This window comes from Homo sapiens, chromosome 18 (assembly GCF_000001405.40).
Source record: "Homo sapiens chromosome 18, GRCh38.p14 Primary Assembly".
Classification (NCBI taxonomy): domain Eukaryota; kingdom Metazoa; phylum Chordata; class Mammalia; order Primates; family Hominidae; genus Homo; species Homo sapiens.
The window spans coordinates 18,404,124-18,431,637 of record NC_000018.10 but is presented as its reverse complement, the minus strand read 5'-3'; the positions used below and the strand labels follow the sequence as shown (position 1 = coordinate 18,431,637).

Sequence of the window (27,514 nt, the reverse complement as noted above, 5' to 3'; positions counted from 1 at the left end):
GAAATTCTCAAGGCTAGGCAAATATACTCTTGCAGATTCCAGAAAAAGAGTGTTTCAAAACTGCTCCTTCAAAACGGTGGTTCAATTCTCTTAGTTGAGTCCACACATCTCAAATAAGTTTCTGAGAATGCTTCTGCCTAGTTGTTACGGGAAGATATTTCCCTTTCCAACATGGGCCTGAAAGCGCTCCAAATGTCCACTTCCAGATACTACAAAAAGAGGGTTTCAAACCTGCTCTACCAAAGGGAATGTTCTACTCTGTGACTTGAATGCAAACATCCCAAAGAAGTTTCTGAGAATGCTTCTGTCTAGATTTTACCTGAAGACAATCCCGTTTCCCACGAAATCCTCAAAGCTATGCAAATATCCTCTTGCAGATTCTACAAAAAGAGTGTTTCAAAACTGCTCTATGAAAAGAAAGGTTCAACTCTGTCAGTAGAGGGCACACATCACAAACAAGTTTCTGAGAATGCTTGTGTCTAGTTGTTATGGGAAGATATTTCCTTTTTCAACATAGGCCTGAAAGCGCTCCAAATGTCCACTTCCAGATACTACAAAAGGAGTGATTCCAACCTGCTCTATGATAGGGAATGTTCATCTCTGTGTCCTGAATACAAACATCACAAAGATGTTTCTCAGAACGCTGCAGTCTGCAATTTGTATGAATTCCCGCTTCCAACGAAATCCTCAAAACTAGCCAAATATCCACTTGCAGATTCCACAAAAAGAGCATTTCAAAACTGCTCTATCAAAAGAAAGGTTCAACTTTGTTAGTTGAGTAGATACAGCATAAACAAGTTTCTGAGAATGCTTCTGTCCAGTTTTTATGGGAAGATATTTCCTTTTTCACCTTAGCCCTGAAAGCGCTCCAAAAGTCCAGTTCCAGATACTACAAAAGGAGTGTTTCAGGACTGCACTATGAAAGGGAGTGTTCAACTTTTGACTTGAATGCAAACATCAGAAAGCAGTTTCTCAGAACGCTGCTGTGTGCTTTTTATATGTATTCCCGCTTCCAGCGAAATCCCCAAAGCTAGCCAAATATCCACTTGCAGATTCCAGAAAAAGAGTGTTTCAAAACTGCTCCTTCAAAACGGTGGTTCAATTCTCTTAGTTGAGTACACACATCTCAAATAAGTTTCTGAGAATGCTTGTGTCTAGCTGTTATGGGAAGATATTTCCTTTTTCAACATAGGCCTGAAAGCGCTCCAAATGTCCACTTCCAGATACTACAAAAGGAGTGATTCCAACCTGCTCTATGATAGGGAATGTTCATCTCTGTGTCCTGAATACAAACATCACAAAGATGTTTCTCAGAACGCTGCAGTCTGCAATTTGGATGAATTCCCGCTTCCAACGAAATCCTCAAAACTAGCCAAATATCCACTTGGAGATTCCACAAAAAGAGCGTTTCAAAACTTCTCTATGAATAGAAAGGTTCTACTCCTTTAGTTGAGGACACACATCACGAGTAAGTTTCTGAGAATGCTTCTGTCTAGTTTTTATGGGAAGATATGTCCTTTTTCACCTTAGGCCGGAAAGCGCTCCAAATGTCCACTTACACACACTACAAAAAGAGTGTTTCAAACCTGCTCTGTGAAAGGGAATGTTCAATTCTGTGACTTGAATGCAATCATCACAAAGAACTTTCTGAGAATGCTGCTGACTGCTTTTTATATGTAATCCCGTTTCCAACGAAATCCTCAAATCTAGCCAAATAGCCACTTGCAGATTCCACAAAAAGAGTGTTTCAAAACTGTTCTGTCTAAAGAAATGTTCAACTGTGTTAGTTGAGGACACACATCAGAAACTAGTTTCTGAGAATGCTCTGTCTAGTTGTTATGGGAAGATATTTCCTTTTCCAACGTAGGCCTGAAAGCGATCCAAATGTCCACTTCCATATACTAAAAAAAGAGTGTTTCAAACCTGCTCTACCAAAGGGAATGTTCTACTCTGTGACTTGAATGCAAACATCCCAAAGAAGTTTCTGAGAATGCTTTCTGTCTAGATTTGATCTGAAGACAATCCCGTTTCCAACGAAATCCTCAAGGCTAGGCAAATATCCTCTTGCAGATTCCAGAAAAAGAGAGTTTCAAAACTGCTCCTTCAAAACGGTGGTTCAATTCTCTTAGTTGAGTACACACATCTCAAATAAGTTTCTGAGAATGCTTCTGCCTAGTTGTTACGGGAAGATATTTCCCTTTCCAACATAGGCCTGAAAGCGCTCCAAATGTCCACTTCCAGATACTACAAAAAGAGTGTTTCAAACCTGCTCTACCAAAGGGAATGTTCTGCTCTGTGACTTGAATGCAAACATCCCAAAGAAGTTTCTGAGAATGCTTCTGTCTAGATTTTACCTGAAGACAATCCCGTTTCCCACGAAATCCTCAAAGCTATGCAAATATCCTCTTGCAGATTCTACAAAAAGAGTGTTTCAAAACTGCTCTATGAAAAGAAAGGTTCAACTCTGTCAGTAGAGGGCACACATCACAAACAAGTTTCTGAGAATGCTTCTGCATAGTTGTTACGGGAAGATATTTCCCTTTCCAAAATAGGCCTGAAAGCGCTCCAAATGTCCACTTCCAGATACTACAAAAGGAGTGATTACAACCTGCTCTATGATAGGGAATGTTCAACTCTGTGTCCTGAATACAAACATCACAAAGATGTTTCTCAGAACGCTGCAGTCTGCAATTTGTATGAATTCCCGCTTCCAACGAAATCCTCAAAACTAGCCAAATATCCACTTGCAGATTCCACAAAAAGACCATTTCAAAACTGCTCTATCAAAAGAAAGGTTCAACTTTGTTAGTTGAGTAGATACAGCATAAACAAGTTTCTGAGAATGCTTCTGTCCAGTTTTTATGGGAAGATATTTCCTTTTTCACCTTAGCCCTGAAATCGCTCCAAAAGTCCAGTTCCAGATACTACAAAAGGGGTGTTTCAGGACTGCTCTATGAAAGGTAGTGTTCAACTTTTGACTTGAATGCAAACATCAGAAAGCAGTTTCTCAGAACGCTGCTGTGTGCTTTTTATTTGTATTCCCGCCTCCAGCGAAATCCCCAAAGCTAGCCAAATATCCACTTGCAGATTCCAGAAAAAGAGTGTTTCAAAACTGCTCCTTCAAAACGGTGGTTCAATTCTCTTAGTTGAGTACACACATCTCAAATAAGTTTCTGAGAATGCTTCTGTCTAGTTGTTATGGGAAGATATTTCCTTTTCCAACATAGGCCTGAAAGCGCTCCAAATGTCCACTTCCAGATACTACAAAAGGAGTGATTCCAACCTGCTCTATGATAGGGAATGTTCAACTCTGTGTCCTGAATACAAACATCACAAAGATGTTTCTCAGAACGCTGCAGTCTGCAATTTGTATGAATTCCCGCTTCCAACGAAATCCTCAAAACTAGCCAAATATCCACTTGCAGATTCCACAAAAAGAGCGTTTCAAAACTTCTCTATGAAAAGAAAGGTTCTACTCCTTTAGTTGAGGACACACATCACGAGTAAGTTTCTGAGAATGCTTCTGTCTAGTTTTTATGGGAAGATATTTCCTTTTTCACCTTAGGCCGGTAAGTGCTCCAAATGTCCACTTACACACACTACAAAAAGAGTGTTTCAAACCTGCTCTGTGAAAGGGAATGTTCAATTCTGTGACTTGAATGCAATCATCACAAAGAACTTTCTGAGAATGCTGCTGTCTGCTTTTTATATGTAATCCCGTTTCCAACGAAATCCTCAAATCTAGCCAAATATCCACTTGCAGATTCCACAAAAAGAGTGTTTCAAAACTGTTCTGTCTAAAGAAAAGTTCAACTGTGTTAGTTGAGGACACACATCAGAAACTAGTTTCTGAGAATGCTCTCTGTCTAGTTGTTATGGGAAGATATTTCCTTTTCCAACGTAGGCCTGAAAGTGCTCCAAATGTCCACTTCCATATACTAAAAAAAGAGTGTTTCAAACCTGCTCTACCAAAGGGAATGTTCTACTCTGTGACTTGAATGCAAACATCCCAAAGAAGTTTCTGAGAATGCTTCTGTCTAGATTTTCTCTGAAGACAATCCCGTTTCCAACGAAATCCTCAAGGCTAGGCAAATATACTCTTGCAGATTCCAGAAAAAGAGTGTTTCAAAACTGCTCCTTCAAAACGGTGGTTCAATTCTCTTAGTTGAGTACACACATCTCAAATAAGTTTCTGAGAATGCTTCTGCCTAGTTGTTACGGGAAGATATTTCCCTTTCCAACATGGGCCTGAAAGCGCTCCAAATGTCCACTTCCAGATACTACAAAAAGAGTGTTTCAAACCTGCTCTACCAAAGGGAATGTTCTACTCTGTGACTTGAATGCAAACATCCCAAAGAAGTTTCTGAGAATGCTTCTGTCTAGATTTTACCTGAAGACAATCCCGTTTCCCACGAAATCCTCAAAGCTATGCAAATATCCTCTTGCAGATTCTACAAAAAGAGTGTTTCAAAACTGCTCTATGAAAAGAAAGGTTCAACTCTGTCAGTAGAGGGCACACATCACAAACAAGTTTCTGAGAATGCTTCTGCATAGTTGTTACGGGAAGATATTTCCCTTTCCAAAATAGGCCTGAAAGCGCTCCAAATGTCCACTTCCAGATACTACAAAAGGAGTGATTCCAACCTGCTCTATGATAGGGAATGTTCAACTCTGTGTCCTGAATACAAACATCACAAAGATGTTTCTCAGAACGCTGCAGTCTGCAATTTGTATGAATTCCCGCTTCCAACGAAATCCTCAAAACTAGCCAAATATCCACTTGCAGATTCCACAAAAAGACCATTTCAAAACTGCTCTATCAAAAGAAAGGTTCAACTTTGTTAGTTGAGTAGATACAGCATAAACAAGTTTCTGAGAATGCTTCTGTCCAGTTTTTATGGGAAGATATTTCCTTTTTCACCTTAGCCCTGAAAGCGCTCCAAAAGTCCAGTTCCAGATACTACAAAAGGAGTGTTTCAGGACTGCTCTATGAAAGGGAGTGTTCAACTTTTGACTTGAATGCAAACATCAGAAAGCAGTTTCTCAGAACGCTGCTGTGTGCTTTTTATATGTATTCCCGCTTCCAGCGAAATCCCCAAAGCTAGCCAAATATCCACTTGCAGATTCCAGAAAAAGAGTGTTTCAAAACTGCTCCTTCAAAACGGTGGTTCAATTCTCTTAGTTGAGTACACACATCTCAAATAAGTTTCTGAGAATGCTTCTGTCTAGTTGTTATGGGAAGATATTTCCTTTTCCAACATAGGCCTGAAAGCGCTCCAAATGTCCACTTCCAGATACTACAAAAGGAGTGATTCCAACCTGCTCTATGATAGGGAATGTTCAACTCTGTGTCCTGAATACAAACATCACAAAGATGTTTCTCAGAACGCTGCAGTCTGCAATTTGTATGAATTCCCGCTTCCAACGAAATCCTCAAAACTAGCCAAATATCCACTTGCAGATTCCACAAAAAGAGCGTTTCAAAACTTCTCTATGAAAAGAAAGGTTCTACTCCTTTAGTTGAGGACACACATCACGAGTAAGTTTCTGAGAATGCTTCTGTCTAGTTTTTATGGGAAGATATTTCCTTTTTCACCTTAGGCCGGTAAGTGCTCCAAATGTCCACTTACACACACTACAAAAAGAGTGTTTCAAACCTGCTCTGTGAAAGGGAATGTTCAATTCTGTGACTTGAATGCAATCATCACAAAGAACTTTCTGAGAATGCTGCTGACTGCTTTTTATATGTAATCCCGTTTCCAACGAAATCCTCAAATCTAGCCAAATAGCCACTTGCAGATTCCACAAAAAGAGTGTTTCAAAACTGTTCCGTCTAAAGAAATGTACAACTGTGTTAGTTGAGGACACACATCAGAAACTAGTTTCTGAGAATGCTTCTGTCTAGTTGTTATGGGAAGATATTTCCTTTTCCAACGTAGGCCTGAAAGCGCTCCAAATGTCCACTTCCATATACTAAAAAAAGAGTGTTTCAAACCTGCTCTACCAAAGGGAATGTTCTACTCTGTGACTTGAATGCAAACATCCCAAAGAAGTTTCTGAGAATGCTTCTGTCTAGATTTTATCTGAAGAAAATCCCGTTTCCTACGAAATCCTCAAGGCTAGGCAAATATCCTCTTGCAGATTCCAGAAAAAGAGTGTTTCAAAACTGCTCCTTCAAAACGGTGGTTCAATTCTCTTAGTTGAGTACACACATCTCAAATACGTTTCTGAGAATGCTTCTGCCTAGTTGTTACGGGAAGATATTTCCCTTTCCAACATAGGCCTGAAAGCGCTCCAAATGTCCACTTCCAGATACTACAAAAAGAGTGTTTCAAACCTGCTCTACCAAAGGGAATGTTCTACTCTGTGACTTGAATGCAAACATCCCAAAGAAGTTTCTGAGAATGCTTCTGTCTAGATTTTACCTGAAGACAATCCCGTTTCCCACGAAATCCTCAAAGCTATGCAAATATCCTCTTGCAGATTCTACAAAAAGAGTGTTTCAAAACTGCTCTATGAAAAGAAAGGTTCAACTCTGTCAGTAGAGGGCACACATCACAAACAAGTTTCTGAGAATGCTTGTGTCTAGTTGTTATGGGAAGATATTTCCTTTTTCAACATAGGCCTGAAAGCGCTCCAAATGTCCACTTCCAGATACTACAAAAGGAGTGATTCCAACCTGCTCTATGATAGGGAATGTTCAACTCTGTGTCCTGAATACAAACATCACAAAGATGTTTCTCAGAACGCTGCAGTCTGCAATTTGTATGAATTCCCGCTTCCAACGAAATCCTCAAAACTAGCCAAATATCCACTTGCAGATTCCACAAAAAGAGCATTTCAAAACTGCTCTATCAAAAGAAAGGTTCAACTTTGTTAGTTGAGCAGATACAGCATAAACAAGTTTCTGAGAATGCTTCTGTCCAGTTTTTATGGGAAGATATTTCCTTTTTCACCTTAGCCCTGAAAGCGCTCCAAATGTCCAGTTCCAGATACTACAAAAGGGGTGTTTCAAGACTGCTCTATGAAAGGGAGTGTTCAACTTTTGACTTGAATGCAAACATCAGAAAGCAGTTTCTCAGAACGCTGCTGTGTGCTTTTTATATGTATTCCCGCTTCCAGCGAAATCCCCAAAGCTAGCCAAATATCCACTTGCAGATTCCAGAAAAAGAGTGTTTCCAAACTGCTCCTTCAAAACGGTGGTTCAATTCTCTTAGTTGAGTACACACATCTCAAATAAGTTTCTGGGAATGCTTCTGTCTAGTTGTTATGGGAAGATATTTCCTTTTCCAACATAGGCCTGAAAGCGCTCCAAATGTCCACTTCCAGATACTACAAAAGGAGTGATTCAAACCTGCTCTATGATAGGGAATGTTCAACTCTGTGTCCTGAATACAAACATCACAAAGATGTTTCTCAGAACGCTGCAGTCTGCAATTTGTATGAATTCCCGCTTCCAACGAAATCCTCAAAACTAGCCAAATATCCACTTGCAGATTCCACAAAAAGAGCGTTTCAAAACTTCTCTATGAAAAGAAAGGTTCTACTCCTTTAGTTGAGGACACACATCACGAGTAAGTTTCTGAGAATGCTTCTGTCTAGTTTTTATGGGAAGATATTTCCTTTTTCACCTTAGGCCGGTAAGTGCTCCAAATGTCCACTTACACACACTACAAAAAGAGTGTTTCAAACCTGCTCTGTGAAAGGGAATGTTCAATTCTGTGACTTGAATGCAATCATCACAAAGAACTTTCTGAGAATGCTGCTGACTGCTTTTTATATGTAATCCCGTTTCCAACGAAATCCTCAAATCTAGCCAAATAGCCACTTGCAGATTCCACAAAAAGAGTGTTTCAAAACTGTTCTGTCTAAAGAAATGTTCAACTGTGTTAGTTGAGGACACACATCAGAAACTAGTTTCTGAGAATGCTTCTGTCTAGTTGTTATGGGAAGATATTTCCTTTTCCAACGTAGGCCTGAAAGCGCTCCAAATGTCCACTTCCAGATACTACAAAAAGAGTGTTTCAAACCTGCTCTACCAAAGGGAATGTTCTACTCTGTGACTTGAATGCAAACATCCCAAAGAAGTTTCTGAGAATGCTTCTGTCTAGATTTTCTCTGAAGACAATCCCGTTTCCAACGAAATCCTCAAGGCTAGGCAAATATACTCTTGCAGATTCCAGAAAAAGAGTGTTTCAAAACTGCTCCTTCAAAACGGTGGTTCAATTCTCTTAGTTGAGTACACACATCTCAAATAAGTTTCTGAGAATGCTTCTGCCTAGTTGTTACGGGAAGATATTTCCCTTTCCAACATGGGCCTGAAAGCGCTCCAAATGTCCACTTCCAGATACTACAAAAAGAGTGTTTCAAACCTGCTCTACCAAAGGGAATGTTCTACTCTGTGACTTGAATGCAAACATCCCAAAGAAGTTTCTGAGAATGCTTCTGTCTAGATTTTACCTGAAGACAATCCCGTTTCCCACGAAATCCTCAAAGCTATGCAAATATCCTCTTGCAGATTCTACAAAAAGAGTGTTTCAAAACTGCTCTATGAAAAGAAAGGTTCAACTCTGTCAGTAGAGGGCACACATCACAAACAAGTTTCTGAGAATGCTTCTGCATAGTTGTTACGGGAAGATATTTCCCTTTCCAAAATAGGCCTGAAAGCGCTCCAAATGTCCACTTCCAGATACTACAAAAGGAGTGATTCCAACCTGCTCTATGATAGGGAATGTTCAACTCTGTGTCCTGAATACAAACATCACAAAGATGTTTCTCAGAACGCTGCAGTCTGCAATTTGTATGAATTCCCGCTTCCAACGAAATCCTCAAAACTAGCCAAATATCCACTTGCAGATTCCACAAAAAGACCATTTCAAAACTGCTCTATCAAAAGAAAGGTTCAACTTTGTTAGTTGAGTAGATACAGCATAAACAAGTTTCTGAGAATGCTTCTGTCCAGTTTTTATGGGAAGATATTTCCTTTTTCACCTTAGCCCTGAAAGGGCTCCAAAAGTCCAGTTCCAGATACTACAAAAGGAGTGTTTCAGGACTGCTCTATGAAAGGGAGTGTTCAACTTTTGACTTGAATGCAAACATCAGAAAGCAGTTTCTCAGAACGCTGCTGTGTGCTTTTTATATGTATTCCCGCTTCCAGCGAAATCCCCAAAGCTAGCCAAATATCCACTTGCAGATTCCAGAAAAAGAGTGTTTCAAAACTGCTCCTTCAAAACGGTGGTTCAATTCTCTTAGTTGAGTACACACATCTCAAATAAGTTTCTGAGAATGCTTCTGTCTAGTTGTTATGGGAAGATATTTCCTTTTCCAACATAGGCCTGAAAGCGCTCCAAATGTCCACTTCCAGATACTACAAAAGGAGTGATTCCAACCTGCTCTATGATAGGGAATGTTCAACTCTGTGTCCTGAATACAAACATCACAAAGATGTTTCTCAGAACGCTGCAGTCTGCAATTTGTATGAATTCCCGCTTCCAACGAAATCCTCAAAACTAGCCAAATATCCACTTGCAGATTCCACAAAAAGAGCGTTTCAAAACTTCTCTATGAAAAGAAAGGTTCTACTCCTTTAGTTGAGGACACACATCACGAGTAAGTTTCTGAGAATGCTGCTGTGTGCTTTTTATATGTAATCCCGTTTCCAACGAAATGCTCAAATCTAGCCAAATATCCACTTGCAGATTCCACAAAAAGAGTGTTTCAAAACTGTTCTGTCTAAAGAAATGTTCAACTGTGTTAGCTGAGGACACACATCAGAAACTAGTTTCTGAGAATGCTGCTGTCTGCTTTTTATATGTATTCCCGTTTCCAACGAAATCCTCAAAGCCAGCCAAATATCCACTTGCAGATTCCACAAAAAGAGTGTTTCAAAACTGCTCTCTCAAAAGAAATGTTCAACTCTGTCAGTTGAGGACACACATCACAAATAAGTTTCTGAGAATGCTTCTGTCTAGTTTTTATGGGAAGATATTTCCTTTTTCACCTGAGGCCGGAAAGCGCTCCAAATGTCCACTTCCAGATACTACAAAAGGAGTGATTCAAACCTGCTCTATGATAGGGAACGTTCAACTCTGTGTCCTGAATACAAACATCACAAAGATGTTTCTCAGAACGCTGCAGTCTGCAATTTGTATGAATTCCCGCTTCCAACGAAATCCTCAAAACTAGCCAAATATCCACTTGCAGATTCCACAAAAAGAGCGTTTCAAAACTTCTCTATGAAAAGAAAGGTTCTACTCCTTTAGTTGAGGACACACATCACGAGTAAGTTTCTGAGAATGCTTCTGTCTAGTTTTTATGGGAAGATATTTCCTTGTTCACCTTAGGCCGGAAAGCGCTCCAAATGTCCACTTACACACACTACAAAAAGAGTGTTTCAAACCTGCTCTGTGAAAGGGAATGTTCAATTCTGTGACTTGAATGCAATCATCACAAAGAAGTTTCTGAGAATGCTGCTGTCTGCTTTTTATATGTAATCCCGTTTCCAACGAAATCCTCAAATCTAGCCAAATATCCACTTGCAGATTCCACAAAAAGAGTGTTTCAAAACTGTTCTGTCTAAAGAAATGTTCAACTGTGTTAGTTGAGGACACACATCAGAAACTAGTTTCTGAGAATGCTTCTGTCTAGTTGTTATGGGAAGATATTTCCTTTTCCAACGTAGGCCTGAAAGCGCTCCAAATGTCCACTTCCATATACTAAAAAAAGAGTGTTTCAAACCTGCTCTACCAAAGGAATGTTCTACTCTGTGACTTGAATGCAAACATCCCAAAGAAGTTTCTGAGAATGCTTCTGTCTAGATTTGATCTGAAGACAATCCCTTTTCCAACGAAATCCTCAAAGCTAGGCAAATATCCTCTTGCAGATTCCAGAAAAAGAGTGTTTCCAAACTGCTCCTTCAAAACGGTGGTTCAATTCTCTTAGTTGAGTACACACATCTCAAATAAGTTTCTGAGAATGCTTCTGCCTAGTTGTTACGGGAAGATATTTCCCTTTCCAACATAGGCCTGAAAGCGCAACAAATGTCCACTTCCAGATACTACAAAAAGAGTGTTTCAAACCTGCTCTACCGAAGGGAATGTTCTACTCTGTGACTTGAATGCAAACATCCCGAAGAAGTTTCTGAGAATGCTTCTGTCTAGATTTTACCTGAAGACAATCCCGTTTCCCACGAAATCCTCAGAGCTATGCAAATATCCTCTTGCAGATTCTACAAAAAGAGTGTTTCAAAACTGCTCTATGAAAAGAAAGGTTCAACTCTGTCAGTAGAGGAAACACATCACCAACAAGTTTCTGAGAATGCTTCTGTCTAGTTGTTATGGGAAGATTTTTCCTTTTTCAACATAGGCCTGAAAGCGCTCCAAATGTCCACTTCCAGATACTACAAAAGGAGTGATTCAAACATGCTCTATGATAGGGAATGTTCAACTCTGTGTCCTGAATACAAACATCACAAAGGTGTTTCTCAGAACGCTGCAGTCTGCAATTTGTATGAATTCCCGCTTCCAACGAAATCCTCAAAACTAGCCAAATATCCACTTGCAGATTCCACAAAAAGAGCATTTCAAAACTGCTCTATCAAAAGAAAGGTTCAACTTTGTTAGTTGAGTAGATACAGCATAAACAAGTTTCTGAGAATGCTTCTGTCCAGTTTTTATGGGAAGATATTTCCTTTTTCACCTTAGCCCTGAAAGCGCTCCAAAAGTCCAGTTCCAGATACTACAAAAGGAGTGTTTCAGGACTGCTCTATGAAAGGGAGTGTTCAACTTTTGACTTGAATGCAAACATCAGAAAGCAGTTTCTCAGAACGCTGCTGTGGGCTTTTTATATGTATTCCCGCTTCCAGCGAAATCCCCAAAGCTAGCCAAATATCCACTTGCAGATTCCTGAAAAAGAGTGTTTCAAAACTGCTCCTTCAAAACGGTGGTTCAATTCTCTTAGTTGAGTACACACATCTCAAATAAGTTTCTGAGAATGCTTCTGTCTAGTTGTTATGGGAAGATATTTCCTTTTCCAACATAGGCTTGAAAGCGCTCCAAATGTCCACTTCCAGATACTACAAAAGGAGTGATTCAAACCTGCTCTATGATAGGGAATGTTCAATTCTGTGTCCTGAATACAAACATCACAAAGATGTTTCTCAGAAAGCTGCAGTCTGCAATTTGTATGAATTCCCGCTTCCAACGAAATCCTCCAAACTAGCCAAATATCCACTTGCAGATTCCAGAAAAAGAGTGTTTCAAAACTGCTCCTTCAAAACGGTGGTTCAATTCTCTTAGTTGAGTACACACATCTCAAATAAGTTTCTGAGAATGCTTCTGTCTAGTTGTTATGGGAAGATATTTCCTTTTCCAACATAGGCCTGAAAGCGCTCCAAATGTCCACTTCCAGATACTACAAAAGGAGTGATTCCAACCTGCTCTATGATAGGGAATGTTCAACTCTGTGTCCTGAATACAAACATCACAAAGATGTTTCTCAGAACGCTGCAGTCTGCAATTTGTATGAGTTCCCGCTTCCAACGAAATCCTCCAAACTAGCCAAATATCCACTTGCAGATTCCACAAAAAGAGCGTTTCAAAACTTCTCTATGAAAAGAAAGGTTCTACTCCTTTAGTTGAGGACACACATCACGAGTAAGTTTCTGAGAATGCTTCTGTCTAGTTTTTATGGGAAGATATTTCCTTTTTCACCTTAGGCCGGAAAGTGCTCCAAATGTCCACTTACACACACTACAAAAAGAGTGTTTCAAACCTGCTCTGTGAAAGGGAATGTTCAATTCTGTGACTTGAATGCAATCATCACCAAGAACTTTCTGAGAATGCTGCTGTCTGCTTTTTATATGTAATCCCGTTTCCATCGAAATCCTCAAATCTAGCCAAATATCCACTTGCAGATTCCACAAAAAGAGTGTTTCAAAACTGTTCTGTCTAAAGAAATGTTCAACTGTGTTAGTTGAGGACACACATCAGAAACTAGTTTCTGAGAATGCTTCTGTCTAGTTGTTATGGGAAGATATTTCCTTTTCCAACGTAGGCCTGAAAGCGCTCCAAATGTCCACTTCCATATACTAAAAAAAGAGTGTTTCAAACCTGCTCTACCAAAGGGAATGTTCTACTCTGTGACTTGAATGCAAACATCCCAAAGAAGTTTCTGAGAATGCTTCTGTCTAGATTTGATCTGAAGACAATCCCGTTTCCAACGAAATCCTCAAGGCTAGGCAAATATCCTCTTGCAGATTCCAGAAAAAGAGTGTTTCAAAACTGCTCCTTCAAAACGGTGGTTCAATTCTCTTAGTTGAGTACACACATCTCAAATAAGTTTCTGAGAATGCTTCTGCCTAGTTGTTACGGGAAGATATTTCCCTTTCCAACATAGGCCTGAAAGCGCTCCAAATGTCCACTTCCAGATACTACAAAAAGAGTGTTTCAAACCTGCTCTACCAAAGGGAATGTTCCACTCTGTGACTTGAATGCAAACATCCCAAAGAAGTTTCTGAGAATGCTTCTGTCTAGATTTTACCTGAAGACAATCCCGTTTCCCACGAAATCCTCAAAGCTATGCAAATATCCTCTTGCAGATTCTACAAAAAGAGTGTTTCAAAACTGCTCTATGAAAAGAAAGGTTCAACTCTGTCACTAGAGGGCACACATCACAAACAAGTTTCTGAGAATGCTTGTGTCTAGTTGTTATGGGAAGATATTTCCTTTTTCAACATAGGCCTGAAAGCGCTCCAAATGTCCACTTCCAGATACTACAAAAGGAGTGATTCCAACATGCTCTATGATAGGGAATGTTCATCTCTCTGTCCTGAATACAAACATCACAAAGATGTTTCTCAGAACGCTGCAGTCTGCAATTTGTATGAATTCCCGCTTCCAAAGAAATCCTCAAAACTAACCAAATATCCACTTGCAGACTCCACAAAAAGAGCATTTCAAAACTGCTCTATCAAAAGAAAGGTTCAACTTTGTTAGCTGAGTAGATACAGCATAAACAAGTTTCTGAGAATGCTTCTGTCCAGTTTTTATGGGAAGATATTTCCTTTTTCACCTTAGCCCTGAAAGCACTCCAAATGTCCACTTCCAGATACCACAAAAGGGGAGTTTCAAGACTGCTCTATGAAAGGGAGTGTTCAACTTTTGACTTGAATGCGAACATCAGAAAGAAGTTTCTCAGAACGCTGCTGTGTGCTTTTTATATGTATTCCCGCTTCCAGCGAAATCCCCAAAGCTAGCCAGATATCCACTTGCAGATTCCAGAAAAAGAGTGTTTCAAAACTGCTCCTTCAAAACGGTGGTTCAATTCTCTTAGTTGAGTACACACATCTCAAATAAGTTTCTGAGAATGCTTCTGTCTATTTGTTATGGGAAGATATTTCCTTTTCCAACATAGGCCTGAAAGCGCTCCAAATGTCCATTTCCAGATACTACAAAAGGAGTGATTCAAACCTGCTCTATGATAGGGAATGTTCAACTCTGTGTCCTGAATACAAACATCACAAAGATGTTTCTCAGAACGCTGCAGTCTGCAATTTGTATGAATTCCCGCTTCCAACGAAATCCTCAAAACTAGCCAAATATCCACTTGCAGATTCCACAAAAAGAGCGTTTCAAAACTTCTCTATGAAAAGAAAGGTTCTACTCCTTTAGTTGAGGACACACAATACGAGTAAGTTTCTGAGAATGCTTCTGTCCAGTTTTTATGGGAAGATATTTCCTTTTTCACCTTAGCCCTGAAAGCGCTCCAAAAGTCCAGTTCCAGATACTACAAAAGGAGTGTTTCAGGACTGCTCTATGAAAGGGAGTGTTCAACTTTTGACTTGAATGCAAACATCAGAAAGCAGTTTCTCAGAACGCTGCTGTGTGCTTTTTATATGTATTCCCGCTTCCAGCGAAATCCCCAAAGCTAGCCAAATATCCACTTGCAGATTCCAGAAAAAGAGTGTTTCAAAACTGCTCCTTCAAAAGGGTGGTTCAATTCTCTTAGTTGACTACACACATCTCAAATAAGTTTCTGAGAATGCTTCTGTCTAGTTGTTATGGGAAGATATTTCCTTTTCCAACATAGGCCTGAAAGCGCTCCAAATGTCCACTTCCAGATACTACAAAAGGAGTGATTCCAACCTGCTCTATGATAGGGAATGTTCAACTCTGTGTCCTGAATACAAACATCACAAAGATGTTTCTCAGAACGCTGCAGTCTGCAATTTGTATGAATTCCCGCTTCCAACGAAATCCTCAAAACTAGCCAAATATCCACTTGCAGATTCCACAAAAAGAGCATTTCAAAACTGCTCTATCAAAAGAAAGGTTCAACTTTGTTAGTTGAGTAGATACAGCATAAACAAGTTTCTGAGAATGCTTCTGTCCAGTTTTTATGGGAAGATATTTCCTTTTTCACCTTAGCCCTGAAAGCGCTCCAAAAGTCCAGTTCCAGATACTACAAAAGGAGTGTTTCAGGACTGCTCTATAAAAGGGAGTGTTCAACTTTTGACTTGAATGCAAACATCAGAAAGCAGTTTCTCAGAACGCTGCTGTGTGCTTTTTATATGTATTCCCGCCTCCAGCGAAATCCCCAAAGCTAGCCAAATATCCACTTGCAGATTCCAGAAAAAGAGTGTTTCAAAACTGCTCCTTCAAAACGGTGGTTCAATTCTCTTAGTTGAGTACACACATCTCAAATAAGTTTCTGAGAATGCTTCTGTCTAGTTGTTATGGGAAGATATTTCCTTTTCCAACATAGGCCTGAAAGCGCTCCAAATGTCCAATTCCAGATACTACAAAAGGAGTGATTCCAACCTGCTCTATGATAGGGAATGTTCAACTCTGTGTCCTGAATACAAACATCACAAAGATGTTTCTCAGAACGCTGCAGTCTGCAATTTGTATGAATTCCCGCTTCCAACGAAATCCTCCAAACTAGCCAAATATCCACTTGCAGATTCCACAAAAAGAGCGTTTCAAAACTTCTCTATGAAAAGAAAGGTTCTACTCCTTTAGTTGAGGACACACATCACGAGTAAGTTTCTGAGAATGCTTCTGTCTAGTTTTTATGGGAAGATATTTCCTTTTTCACCTTAGGCCAGAAGGGCTCCAAATGTCCACTTACACATACTACAAAAAGAGTGTTTCAAACCTGCTCTGTGAAAGGGAATGTTCAATTCTGTGACTTGAATACAATCATCACAAAGAACTTTCTGAGAATGCTGCTGTCTGCTTTTTATATGTAATCCCGTTTCCAATGAAATCCTCAAATCTAGCCCAATATCCACTTGCAGATTCCACAAAAAGAGTGTTTCAAAACTGTTCTGTCTAAAGAAAAGTTCAACTGTGTTAGTTGAGGACACACATCAGAAACTAGTTTCTGAGAATGCTTCTGTCTAGTTGTTATGGGAAGATATTTCCTTTTCCAACGTAGGCCTGAAAGCGCTCCAAATGTCCACTTCCATATACTAAAAAAAGAGTGTTTCAAACCTGCTCTACCAAAGGGAATGTTCTACTCTGTGACTTGAATGCAAACATCCCAAAGAAGTTTCTGAGAATGCTTCTGTCTAGATTTTATCTGAAGACAATCCCGTTTCCAACGAAATCCTCAAGGCTAGGCAAATATACTCTTGCAGATTCCAGAAAAAGAGTGTTTCAAAACTGCTCCTTCAAAACGGTGGTTCAATTCTCTTAGTTGAGTCCACACATCTCAAATAAGTTTCTGAGAATGCTTCTGCCTAGTTGTTACGGGAAGATATTTCCCTTTCCAACATGGGCCTGAAAGCGCTCCAAATGTCCACTTCCAGATACTACAAAAAGAGTGTTTCAAACCTGCTCTACCAAAGGGAATGTTCTACTCTGTGACTTGAATGCAAACATCCCAAAGAAGTTTCTGAGAATGCTTCTGTCTAGATTTTACCTGAAGACAATCCCGTTTCCCACGAAATCCTCAAAGCTATGCAAATATCCTCTTGCAGATTCTACAAAAAGAGTGTTTCAAAACTGCTCTATGAAAAGAAAGGTTCAACTCTGTCAGTAGAGGGCACACATCACAAACAAGTTTCTGAGAATGCTTCTGCATAGTTGTTACGGGAAGATATTTCCCTTTCCAAAATAGGCCTGAAAGCGCTCCAAATGTCCACTTCCAGATACTACAAAAGGAGTGATTCCAACCTGCTCTATGATAGGGAATGTTCAACTCTGTGTCCTGAATACAAACATCACAAAGATGTTTCTCAGAACGCTGCAGTCTGCAATTTGTATGAATTCCCGCTTCCAACGAAATCCTCAAAACTAGCCAAATATCCACTTGCAGATTCCACAAAAAGACCATTTCAAAACTGCTCTATCAAAAGAAAGGTTCAACTTTGTTAGTTGAGTAGATACAGCATAAACAAGTTTCTGAGAATGCTTCTGTCCAGTTTTTATGGGAAGATATTTCCTTTTTCACCTTAGCCCTGAAATCGCTCCAAAAGTCCAGTTCCAGATACTACAAAAGGGGTGTTTCAAGACTGCTCTATGAAAGGGAGTGTTCAACTTTTGACTTGAATGCAAACATCAGAAAGCAGTTTCTCAGAACGCTGCTGTGTGCTTTTTATATGTATTCCCGCTTCCAGCGAAATCCCCAAAGCTAGCCAAATATCCACTTGCAGATTCCAGAAAAAGAGAGTTTCAAAACTGCTCCTTCAAAACGGTGGTTCAATTCTCTTAGTTGAGTACACACATCTCAAATAAGTTTCTGAGAATGCTTGTGTCTAGTTGTTATGGGAAGATATTTCCTTTTTCAACATAGGCCTGAAAGCGCTCCAAATGTCCACTTCCAGATACTACAAAAGGAGTGATTCCAACCTGCTCTATGATAGGGAATGTTCATCTCTGTGTCCTGAATACAAACATCACAAAGATGTTTCTCAGAACGCTGCAGTCTGCAATTTGTATGAGTTCCCGCTTCCTACGAAATCCTCAACACTAGCCAAATATCCACTTGGAGATTCCACAAAAAGAGCGTTTCAAAACTTCTCTATGAATAGAAAGGTTCTACTCCTTTAGTTGAGGACACACATCACGAGTAAGTTTCTGAGAATGCTTCTGTCTAGTTTTTATGGGAAGATATGTCCTTTTTCACCTTAGGCCGGAAAGCGCTCCAAATGTCCACTTACACACACTACAAAAAGAGTGTTTCAAACCTGCTCTGTGAAAGGGAATGTTCAATTCTGTGACTTGAATGCAATCATCACAAAGAACTTTCTGAGAATGCTGCTGACTGCTTTTTATATGTAATCCCGTTTCCAACGAAATCCTCAAATCTAGCCAAATAGCCACTTGCAGATTCCACAAAAAGAGTGTTTCAAAACTGTTCTGTCTATAGAAATGTTCAACTGTGTTAGTTGAGGACACACATCAGAAACTAGTTTCTGAGAATGCTTCTGTCTAGTTGTTATGGGAAGATATTTCCCTTTCCAACGTAGGCCTGAAAGCGATCAAAATGTCCACTTCCATATACTAAAAAAAGAGTGTTTCAAACCTGCTCTACCAAAGGGAATGTTCTACTCTGTGACTTGAATACAAACATCCCAAAGAAGTTTCTGAGAATGCTTCTGTCTAGATTTTATCTGAATACAATCCCGTTTCCAACGAAATCCTCAAGGCTAGGCAAATATACTCTTGCAGATTCCAGAAAAAGAGTGTTTCAAAACTGCTCCTTCAAAACGGTGTTTCAATTCTCTTAGTTGAGTACACACATCTCAAATAAGTTTCTGAGAATGCTTCTGCCTAGTTGTTACTGGAAGATATTTCCCTTTCCAACATAGGCCTGAAAGCGCTCCAAATGTCCACTTCCAGATACTACAAAAAGAGTGTTGCAAACCTGCTCTACCAAAGGGAATGTTCTACTCTGTGACTTGAATGCAAACATCCCAAAGAAGTTTCTGAGAATGCTTCTGTCTAGATTTTACCTGAAGACAATCCCGTTTCCCACGAAATCCTCAAAGCTATGCAAATATCCTCTTGCAGATTCTACAAAAAGAGTGTTTCAAAACTGCTCTATGAAAAGAAAGGTTCAACTCTGTCAGTAGAGGGCACACATCACAAACAAGTTTCTGAGAATGCTTGTGTCTAGTTGTTATGGGAAGATATTTCCTTTTTCAACATAGGCCTGAAAGCGCTCCAAATGTCCACTTCCAGATACTACAAAAGGCGTGATTCCAACCTGCTCTATGATAGGGAATGTTCATCTCTGTGTCCTGAATACAAACATCACAAAGATGTTTCTCAGAACGCTGCAGTCTGCAATTTGTATGAATTCCCGCTTCCAACGAAATCCTCAAAACTAGCCAAATATCCACTTGGAGATTCCACAAAAAGAGCATTTCAAAACTTCTCTACGAATAGAAAGGTTCTACTCCTTTAGTTGAGGACACACATCACGAGTAAGTTTCTGAGAATGCTTCTGTCTAGTTTTTATGGGAAGATATTTCCTTTTTCACCTTAGGCCGGAAAGCGCTCCAAATGTCCACTTACACACACTACAAAAAGAGTGTTTCAAACCTGCTCTGTGAAAGGGAATGTTCAATTCTGTGACTTGAATGCAATCATCACAAAGAACTTTCTGAGAATGCTGCTGTCTGCTTTTTATATGTAATCCCGTTTCCAACGAAATCCTCAAATCTAGCCCAATATCCACTTGCAGATTCCACAAAAAGAGTGTTTCAAAACTGTTCTGTCTAAAGAAAAGTTCAACTGTGTTAGTTGAGGACACACATCAGAAACTAGTTTCTGAGAATGCTTTCTGTCTAGTTGTTATGGGAAGATATTTCCTTTTCCAACGTAGGCCTGAAAGCGCTCCAAATGTCCACTTCCATATACTAAAAAAAGAGTGTTTCAAACCTGCTCTACCAAAGGGAATGTTCTACTCTGTGACTTGAATGCAAACATCCCAAAGAAGTTTCTGAGAATGCTTCTGTCTAGATTTTATCTGAAGACAATCCCGTTTCCAACGAAATCCTCAAGGCTAGGCAAATATACTCTTGCAGATTCCAGAAAAAGAGGGTTTCAAAACTGCTCCTTCAAAACGGTGGTTCAATTCTCTTAGTTGAGTACACACATCTCAAATAAGTTTCTGAGAATGCTTCTGCCTAGTTGTTACGGGAAGATATTTCCCTTTCCAACATGGGCCTGAAAGCGCTCCAAATGTCCACTTCCAGATACTACAAAAAGAGGGTTTCAAACCTGCTCTACCAAAGGGAATGTTCTACTCTGTGACTTGAATGCAAACATCCCAAAGAAGTTTCTGAGAATGCTTCTGTCTAGATTTTACCTGAAGACAATCCCGTTTCCCACGAAATCCTCAAAGCTATGCAAATATCCTCTTGCAGATTCTACAAAAACAGTGTTTCAAAACTGCTCTATGAAAAGAAAGGTTCAACTCTGTCAGCAGAGGGCACACATCACAAACAAGTTTCTGAGAATGCTTGTGTCTAGTTGTTATGGGAAGATATTTCCTTTTTCAACATAGGCCAGAAAGCGCTCCAAATGTCCACTTCCAGATACTACAAAAGGAGTGATTCCAACCTGCTCTATGATAGGGAATGTTCAACTCTGTGTCCTGAATACAAACATCACAAAGATGTTTCTCAGAACGCTGCAGTCTGCAATTTGTATGTATTCCAGCTTCCAACGAAATCCTCAAATCTAGCCAAATATCCAATTGCAGATTCCACAAAAAGAGCATTTCAAAACTGCTCTATCAAAAGAAAGGTTCAACTTTTTTAGTAGAGTAGATACAGCATAAACAAGTTTCTGAGAATTCTTCTGTCCAGTTTTTATGGGAAGATATTTCCTTTTTCACCTTAGCCCTGAAAGCGCTCCAAAAGTCCAGTTCCAGATACTACAAAAGGAGTGTTTCAGGACTGCTCTATGAAAGGGAGTGTTCAACTTTTGACTTGAATGCAAACATCAGAAAGCAGTTTCTCAGAACGCTGCAGTCTGCAATTTGTATGAATTCCCGCTTCCAACGAAATCCTCAAAACTAGCCAAATATCCACTTGCAGATTCCACAAAAAGAGCGTTTCAAAACTTCTCTATGAAAAGAAAGGTTCTACTCCTTTAGTTGAGGACACACAATACGAGTAAGTTTCTGAGAATGCTTCTGTCCAGTTTTTATGGGAAGATATTTCCTTTTTCACCTTAGCCCTGAAAGCGCTCCAAAAGTCCAGTTCCAGATACTACAAAAGGAGTGTTTCAGGACTGCTCTATGAAAGGGAGTGTTCAACTTTTGACTTGAATGCAAACATCAGAAAGCAGTTTCTCAGAACGCTGCTGTGTGCTTTTTATATGTATTCCCGCATCCAGCGAAATCCCCAAAGCTAGCCAAATATCCACTTGCAGATTCCAGAAAAAGAGTGTTTCAAAACTGCTCCTTCAAAACGGTGGTTCAATTCTCTTAGTTGAGTACACACATCTCAAATAAGTTTCTGAGAATGCTTCTGTCTAGTTGTTATGGGAAGATATTTCCTTTTCCAACATAGGCCTGAAAGCGCTCCAAATGTCCACTTCCAGATACTACAAAAGGAGTGATTCAAACCTGCTCTATGATAGGGAATGTTCAACTCTGTGTCCTGAATACAAACATCACAAAGATGTTTCTCAGAACGCTGCAGTCTGCAATTTGTATGAATTCCCGCTTCCAACGAAATCCTCCAAACTAGCCAAATATCCACTTGCAGATTCCACAAAAAGAGCGTTTCAAAACTTCTCTATGAAAAGAAAGGTTCTACTCCTTTAGTTGAGGACACACATCACGAGTAAGTTTCTGAGAATGCTTCTGTCTAGTTTTTATGGGAAGATATTTCCCTTTTCACCTTAGGCCAGTAAGTGCTCCAAATGTCCACTTACACACACTACAAAAAGAGTGTTTCAAACCTGCTCTGTGAAAGGGAATGTTCAATTCTGTGACTTGAATGCAATCATCACAAAGAACTTTCTGAGAATGCTGCTGACTGCTTTTTATATGTAATCCCGTTTCCAACGAAATCCTCAAATCTAGCCAAATAGCCACTTGCAGATTCCACAAAAAGAGTGTTTCAAAACTGTTCTGTCTAAAGAAATGTTCAACTGTGTTAGTTGAGGACACACATCAGAAACTAGTTTCTGAGAATGCTTCTGTCTAGTTGTTATGGGAAGATATTTCCTTTTCCAACGTAGGCCTGAAAGCGATCCAAATGTCCACTTCCATATACTAAAAAAAGAGTGTTTCAAACCTGCTCTACCAAAGGGAATGTTCTACTCTGTGACTTGAATGCAAACATCCCAAAGAAGTTTCTGAGAATGCTTCTGTCTAGATTTTCTCTGAAGACAATCCCGTTTCCAACGAAATCCTCAAGGCTAGGCAAATATACTCTTGCAGATTCCAGAAAAAGAGTGTTTCAAAACTGCTCCTTCAAAACGGTGGTTCAATTCTCTTAGTTGAGTACACACATCTCAAATAAGTTTCTGAGAATGCTTCTGCCTAGTTGTTACGGGAAGATATTTCCCTTTCCAACATGGGCCTGAAAGCGCTCCAAATGTCCACTTCCAGATACTACAAAAAGAGTGTTTCAAACCTGCTCTACCAAAGGGAATGTTCTACTCTGTGACTTGAATGCAAACATCCCAAAGAAGTTTCTGAGAATGCTTCTGTCTAGATTTTACCTGAAGACAATCCCGTTTCCCACGAAATCCTCAAAGCTATGCAAATATCCTCTTGCAGATTCTACAAAAAGAGTGTTTCAAAACTGCTCTATGAAAAGAAAGGTTCAACTCTGTCAGTAGAGGGCACACATCACAAACAAGTTTCTGAGAATGCTTCTGCATAGTTGTTACGGGAAGATATTTCCCTTTCCAAAATAGGCCTGAAAGCGCTCCAAATGTCCACTTCCAGATACTACAAAAGGAGTGATTCCAACCTGCTCTATGATAGGGAATGTTCAACTCTGTGTCCTGAATACAAACATCACAAAGATGTTTCTCAGAACGCTGCAGTCTGCAATTTGTATGAATTCCCGCTTCCAACGAAATCCTCAAAACTAGCCAAATATCCACTTGCAGATTCCACAAAAAGACCATTTCAAAACTGCTCTATCAAAAGAAAGGTTCAACTTTGTTAGTTGAGTAGATACAGCATAAACAAGTTTCTGAGAATGCTTCTGTCCAGTTTTTATGGGAAGATATTTCCTTTTTCACCTTAGCCCTGAAAGCGCTCCAAAAGTGCAGTTCCAGATACTACAAAAGGAGTGTTTCAGGACTGCTCTATGAAAGGGAGTGTTCAACTTTTGACTTGAATGCAAACATCAGAAAGCAGTTTCTCAGAACGCTGCTGTGTGCTTTTTATATGTATTCCCGCTTCCAGCGAAATCCCCAAAGCTAGCCAAATATCCACTTGCAGATTCCAGAAAAAGAGTGTTTCAAAACTGCTCCTTCAAAACGGTGGTTCAATTCTCTTAGTTGAGTACACACATCTCAAATAAGTTTCTGAGAATGCTTCTGTCTAGTTGTTATGGGAAGATATTTCCTTTTCCAACATAGGCCTGAAAGCGCTCCAAATGTCCACTTCCAGATACTACAAAAGGAGTGATTCCAACCTGCTCTATGATAGGGAATGTTCAACTCTGTGTCCTGAATACAAACATCACAAAGATGTTTCTCAGAACGCTGCAGTCTGCAATTTGTATGAATTCCCGCTTCCAACGAAATCCTCAAAACTAGCCAAATATCCACTTGCAGATTCCACAAAAAGAGCGTTTCAAAACTTCTCTATGAAAACAAAGGTTCTACTCCTTTAGTTGAGGACACACATCACGAGTAAGTTTCTGAGAATGCTTCTGTCTAGTTTTTATGGGAAGATATTTCCTTTTTCACCTTAGGCCGGAAAGTGCTCCAAATGTCCACTTACACACACTACAAAAAGAGTGTTTCAAACCTGCTCTGTGAAAGGGAATGTTCAATTCTGTGACTTGAATGCAATCATCACAAAGAACTTTCTGAGAATGCTGCTGTCTGCTTTTTATATGTAATCCCGTTTCCAACGAAATCCTCAAATCTAGCCAAATAGCCACTTGCAGATTCCACAAAAAGAGAGTTTCAAAACTGTTCTGTCTAAAGAAATGTTCAACTGTGTTAGTTGAGGACACACATCAGAAACTAGTTTCTGAGAATGCTTCTGTCTAGTTGTTATGGGAAGATATTTCCTTTTCCAACGTAGGCCTGAAAGCGCTCCAAATGTCCACTTCCATATACTAAAAAAAGAGTGTTTCAAACCTGCTCTACCAAAGGGAATGTTCTACTCTGTGACTTGAATGCAAACATCCCAAAGAAGTTTCTGAGAATGCTTCTGTCTAGATTTGATCTGAAGACAATCCCGTTTCCAACGAAATCCTCAAGGCTAGGCAAATATCCTCTTGCAGATTCCAGAAAAAGAGTGTTTCAAAACTGCTCCTTCAAAACGGTGGTTCAATTCTCTTAGTTGAGTACACACATCTCAAATAAGTTTCTGAGAATGCTTCTGCCTAGTTGTTACGGGAAGATATTTCCCTTTCCAACATAGGCCTGAAAGCGCTCCAAATGTCCACTTCCAGATACTACAAAAAGAGTGTTTGAAACCTGCTCTACCAAAGGTAATGTTCTACTCTGTGACTTGAATGCAAACATCCCGAAGAAGTTTCTGAGAATGCTTCTGTCTAGATTTTACCTGAAGACAATCCCGTTTCCCACGAAATCCTCAAAGCTATGCAAATATCCTCTTGCAGATTCTACAAAAAGAGTGTTTCAAAACTGCTCTATGAAAAGAAAGGTTCAACTCTGTCACTAGAGGGCACACATCACAAACAAGTTTCTGAGAATGCTTGTGTCTAGTTGTTATGGGAAGATATTTCCTTTTTCAACATAGGCCTGAAAGCGCTCCAAATGTCCACTTCCAGATACTACAAAAGGAGTGATTCCAACCTGCTCTATGATAGGGAATGTTCAACTCTCTGTCCTGAATACAAACATCACAAAGATGTTTCTCAGAACGCTGCAGTCTGCAATTTGTATGAATTCCCGCTTCCAGCGAAATCCTCAAAACTAGCCAAATATCCACTTGCAGATTCCACAAAAAGAGCATTTCAAAACTGCTCTATCAAAAGAAAGGTTCAACTTTGTTAGTTGAGTAGATACAGCATAAACAAGTTTCTGAGAATGCTTCTGTCCAGTTTTTATGGGAAGATATTTCCTTTTTCACCTTAGCCCTGAAGCGCTCCAAAAGTCCAGTTCCAGATACTACAAAAGGAGTGTTTCAGGACTGCTCTATGAAAGGGAGTGTTCAACTTTTGACTTGAATGCAAACATCAGAAAGCAGTTTCTCAGAACGCTGCAGTCTGCAATTTGTATGAATTCCCGCATCCAACGAAATCCTCAAAACTAGCCAAATATCCACTTGGAGATTCCACAAAAAGAGCGTTTCAAACCTTCTCTATGAATAGAAAGGTTCTACTCCTTTAGTTGAGGACACACATCACGAGTAACTTTCTGAGAATGCTTGTGTCTAGTTTTTATGGGAAGATATTTCCTTTTTCACCTTAGGCCGGAAAGTGCTCCAAATGTCCACTTACACACACTACAAAAAGAGTGTTTCAAACCTGCTCTGTGAAAGGGAATGTTCAATTCTGTGACTTGAATGCAATCATCACAAAGAACTTTCTGAGAATGCTGCTGACTGCTTTTTATATGTAATCCCGTTTCCAACGAAATCCTCAAATCTAGCCAAATAGCCACTTGCAGATTCCACAAAAAGAGTGTTTCAAAACTGTTCTGTCTAAAGAAATGTTCAACTGTGTTAGTTGAGGACACACATCAGAAACTAGTTTCTGAGAATGCTTCTGTCTAGTTGTTATGGGAAGATATTTCCTTTTCCAACGTAGGCCTGAAAGCGCTCCAAATGTCCACTTCCATATACTAAAAAAAGAGTGTTTCAAACCTGCTCTACCAAAGGGAATGTTCTACTCTGTGACTTGAATGCAAACATCCCAAAGAAGTTTCTGAGAATGCTTCTGTCTAGATTTTCTCTGAAGACAATCCCGTTTCCAACGAAATCCTCAAGGCTAGGCAAATATACTCTTGCAGATTCCAGAAAAAGAGTGTTTCAAAACTGCTCCTTCAAAACGGTGGTTCAATTCTCTTAGTTGAGTACACACATCTCAAATAAGTTTCTGAGAATGCTTCTGCCTAGTTGTTACGGGAAGATATTTCCCTTTCCAACATGGGCCTGAAAGCGCTCCAAATGTCCACTTCCAGATACTACAAAAAGAGTGTTTCAAACCTGCTCTACCAAAGGGAATGTTCTACTCTGTGACTTGAATGCAAACATCCCAAAGAAGTTTCTGAGAATGCTTCTGTCTAGATTTTACCTGAAGACAATCCCGTTTCCCACGAAATCCTCAAAGCTATGCAAATATCCTCTTGCAGATTCTACAAAAAGAGTGTTTCAAAACTGCTCTATGAAAAGAAAGGTTCAACTCTGTCAGTAGAGGGCACACATCACAAACAAGTTTCTGAGAATGCTTCTGCATAGTTGTTACGGGAAGATATTTCCCTTTCCAAAATAGGCCTGAAAGCGCTCCAAATGTCCACTTCCAGATACTACAAAAGGAGTGATTCCAACCTGCTCTATGATAGGGAATGTTCAACTCTGTGTCCTGAATACAAACATCACAAAGATGTTTCTCAGAACGCTGCAGTCTGCAATTTGTATGAATTCCCGCTTCCAACGAAATCCTCAAAACTAGCCAAATATCCACTTGCAGATTCCACAAAAAGACCATTTCAAAACTGCTCTATCAAAAGAAAGGTTCACCTTTGTTAGTTGAGTAGATACAGCATAAACAAGTTTCTGAGAATGCTTCTGTCCAGTTTTTATGGGAAGATATTTCCTTTTTCACCTTAGCCCTGAAATCGCTCCAAAAGTCCAGTTCCAGATACTACAAAAGGGGTGTTTCAAGACTGCTCTATGAAAGGGAGTGTTCAACTTTTGACTTGAATGCAAACATCAGAAAGCAGTTTCTCAGAACGCTGCTGTGTGCTTTTTATATGTATTCCCGCTTCCAGCGAAATCCCCAAAGCTAGCCAAATATCCACTTGCAGATTCCAGAAAAAGAGAGTTTCAAAACTGCTCCTTCAAAACGGTGGTTCAATTCTCTTAGTTGAGTACACACATCTCAAATAAGTTTCTGAGAATGCTTCTGTCTAGTTGTTATGGGAAGATATTTCCTTTTCCAACATAGGCCTGAAAGCGCTCCAAATGTCCACTTCCAGATACTACAAAAGGAGTGATTCCAACCTGCTCTATGATAGGGAATGTTCAACTCTGTGTCCTGAATACAAACATCACAAAGATGTTTCTCAGAACGCTGCAGTCTGCAATTTGTATGAATTCCCGCTTCCAACGAAATCCTCAAAACTAGCCAAATATCCACTTGCAGATTCCACAAAAAGACCATTTC

At 39.7% G+C, this 27,514-nt stretch overlaps 1 annotated feature.

Moving 5' to 3' along the window:
* Positions 1 to 27,514: part of a centromere (Linear centromere model derived predominantly from reads generated in PMID: 17803354. This region does not represent an actual centromere sequence, as long-range ordering of repeats and unmapped WGS contigs is not provided by the model. For details of model production, see http://arxiv.org/abs/1307.0035.) that runs on past both edges of the window.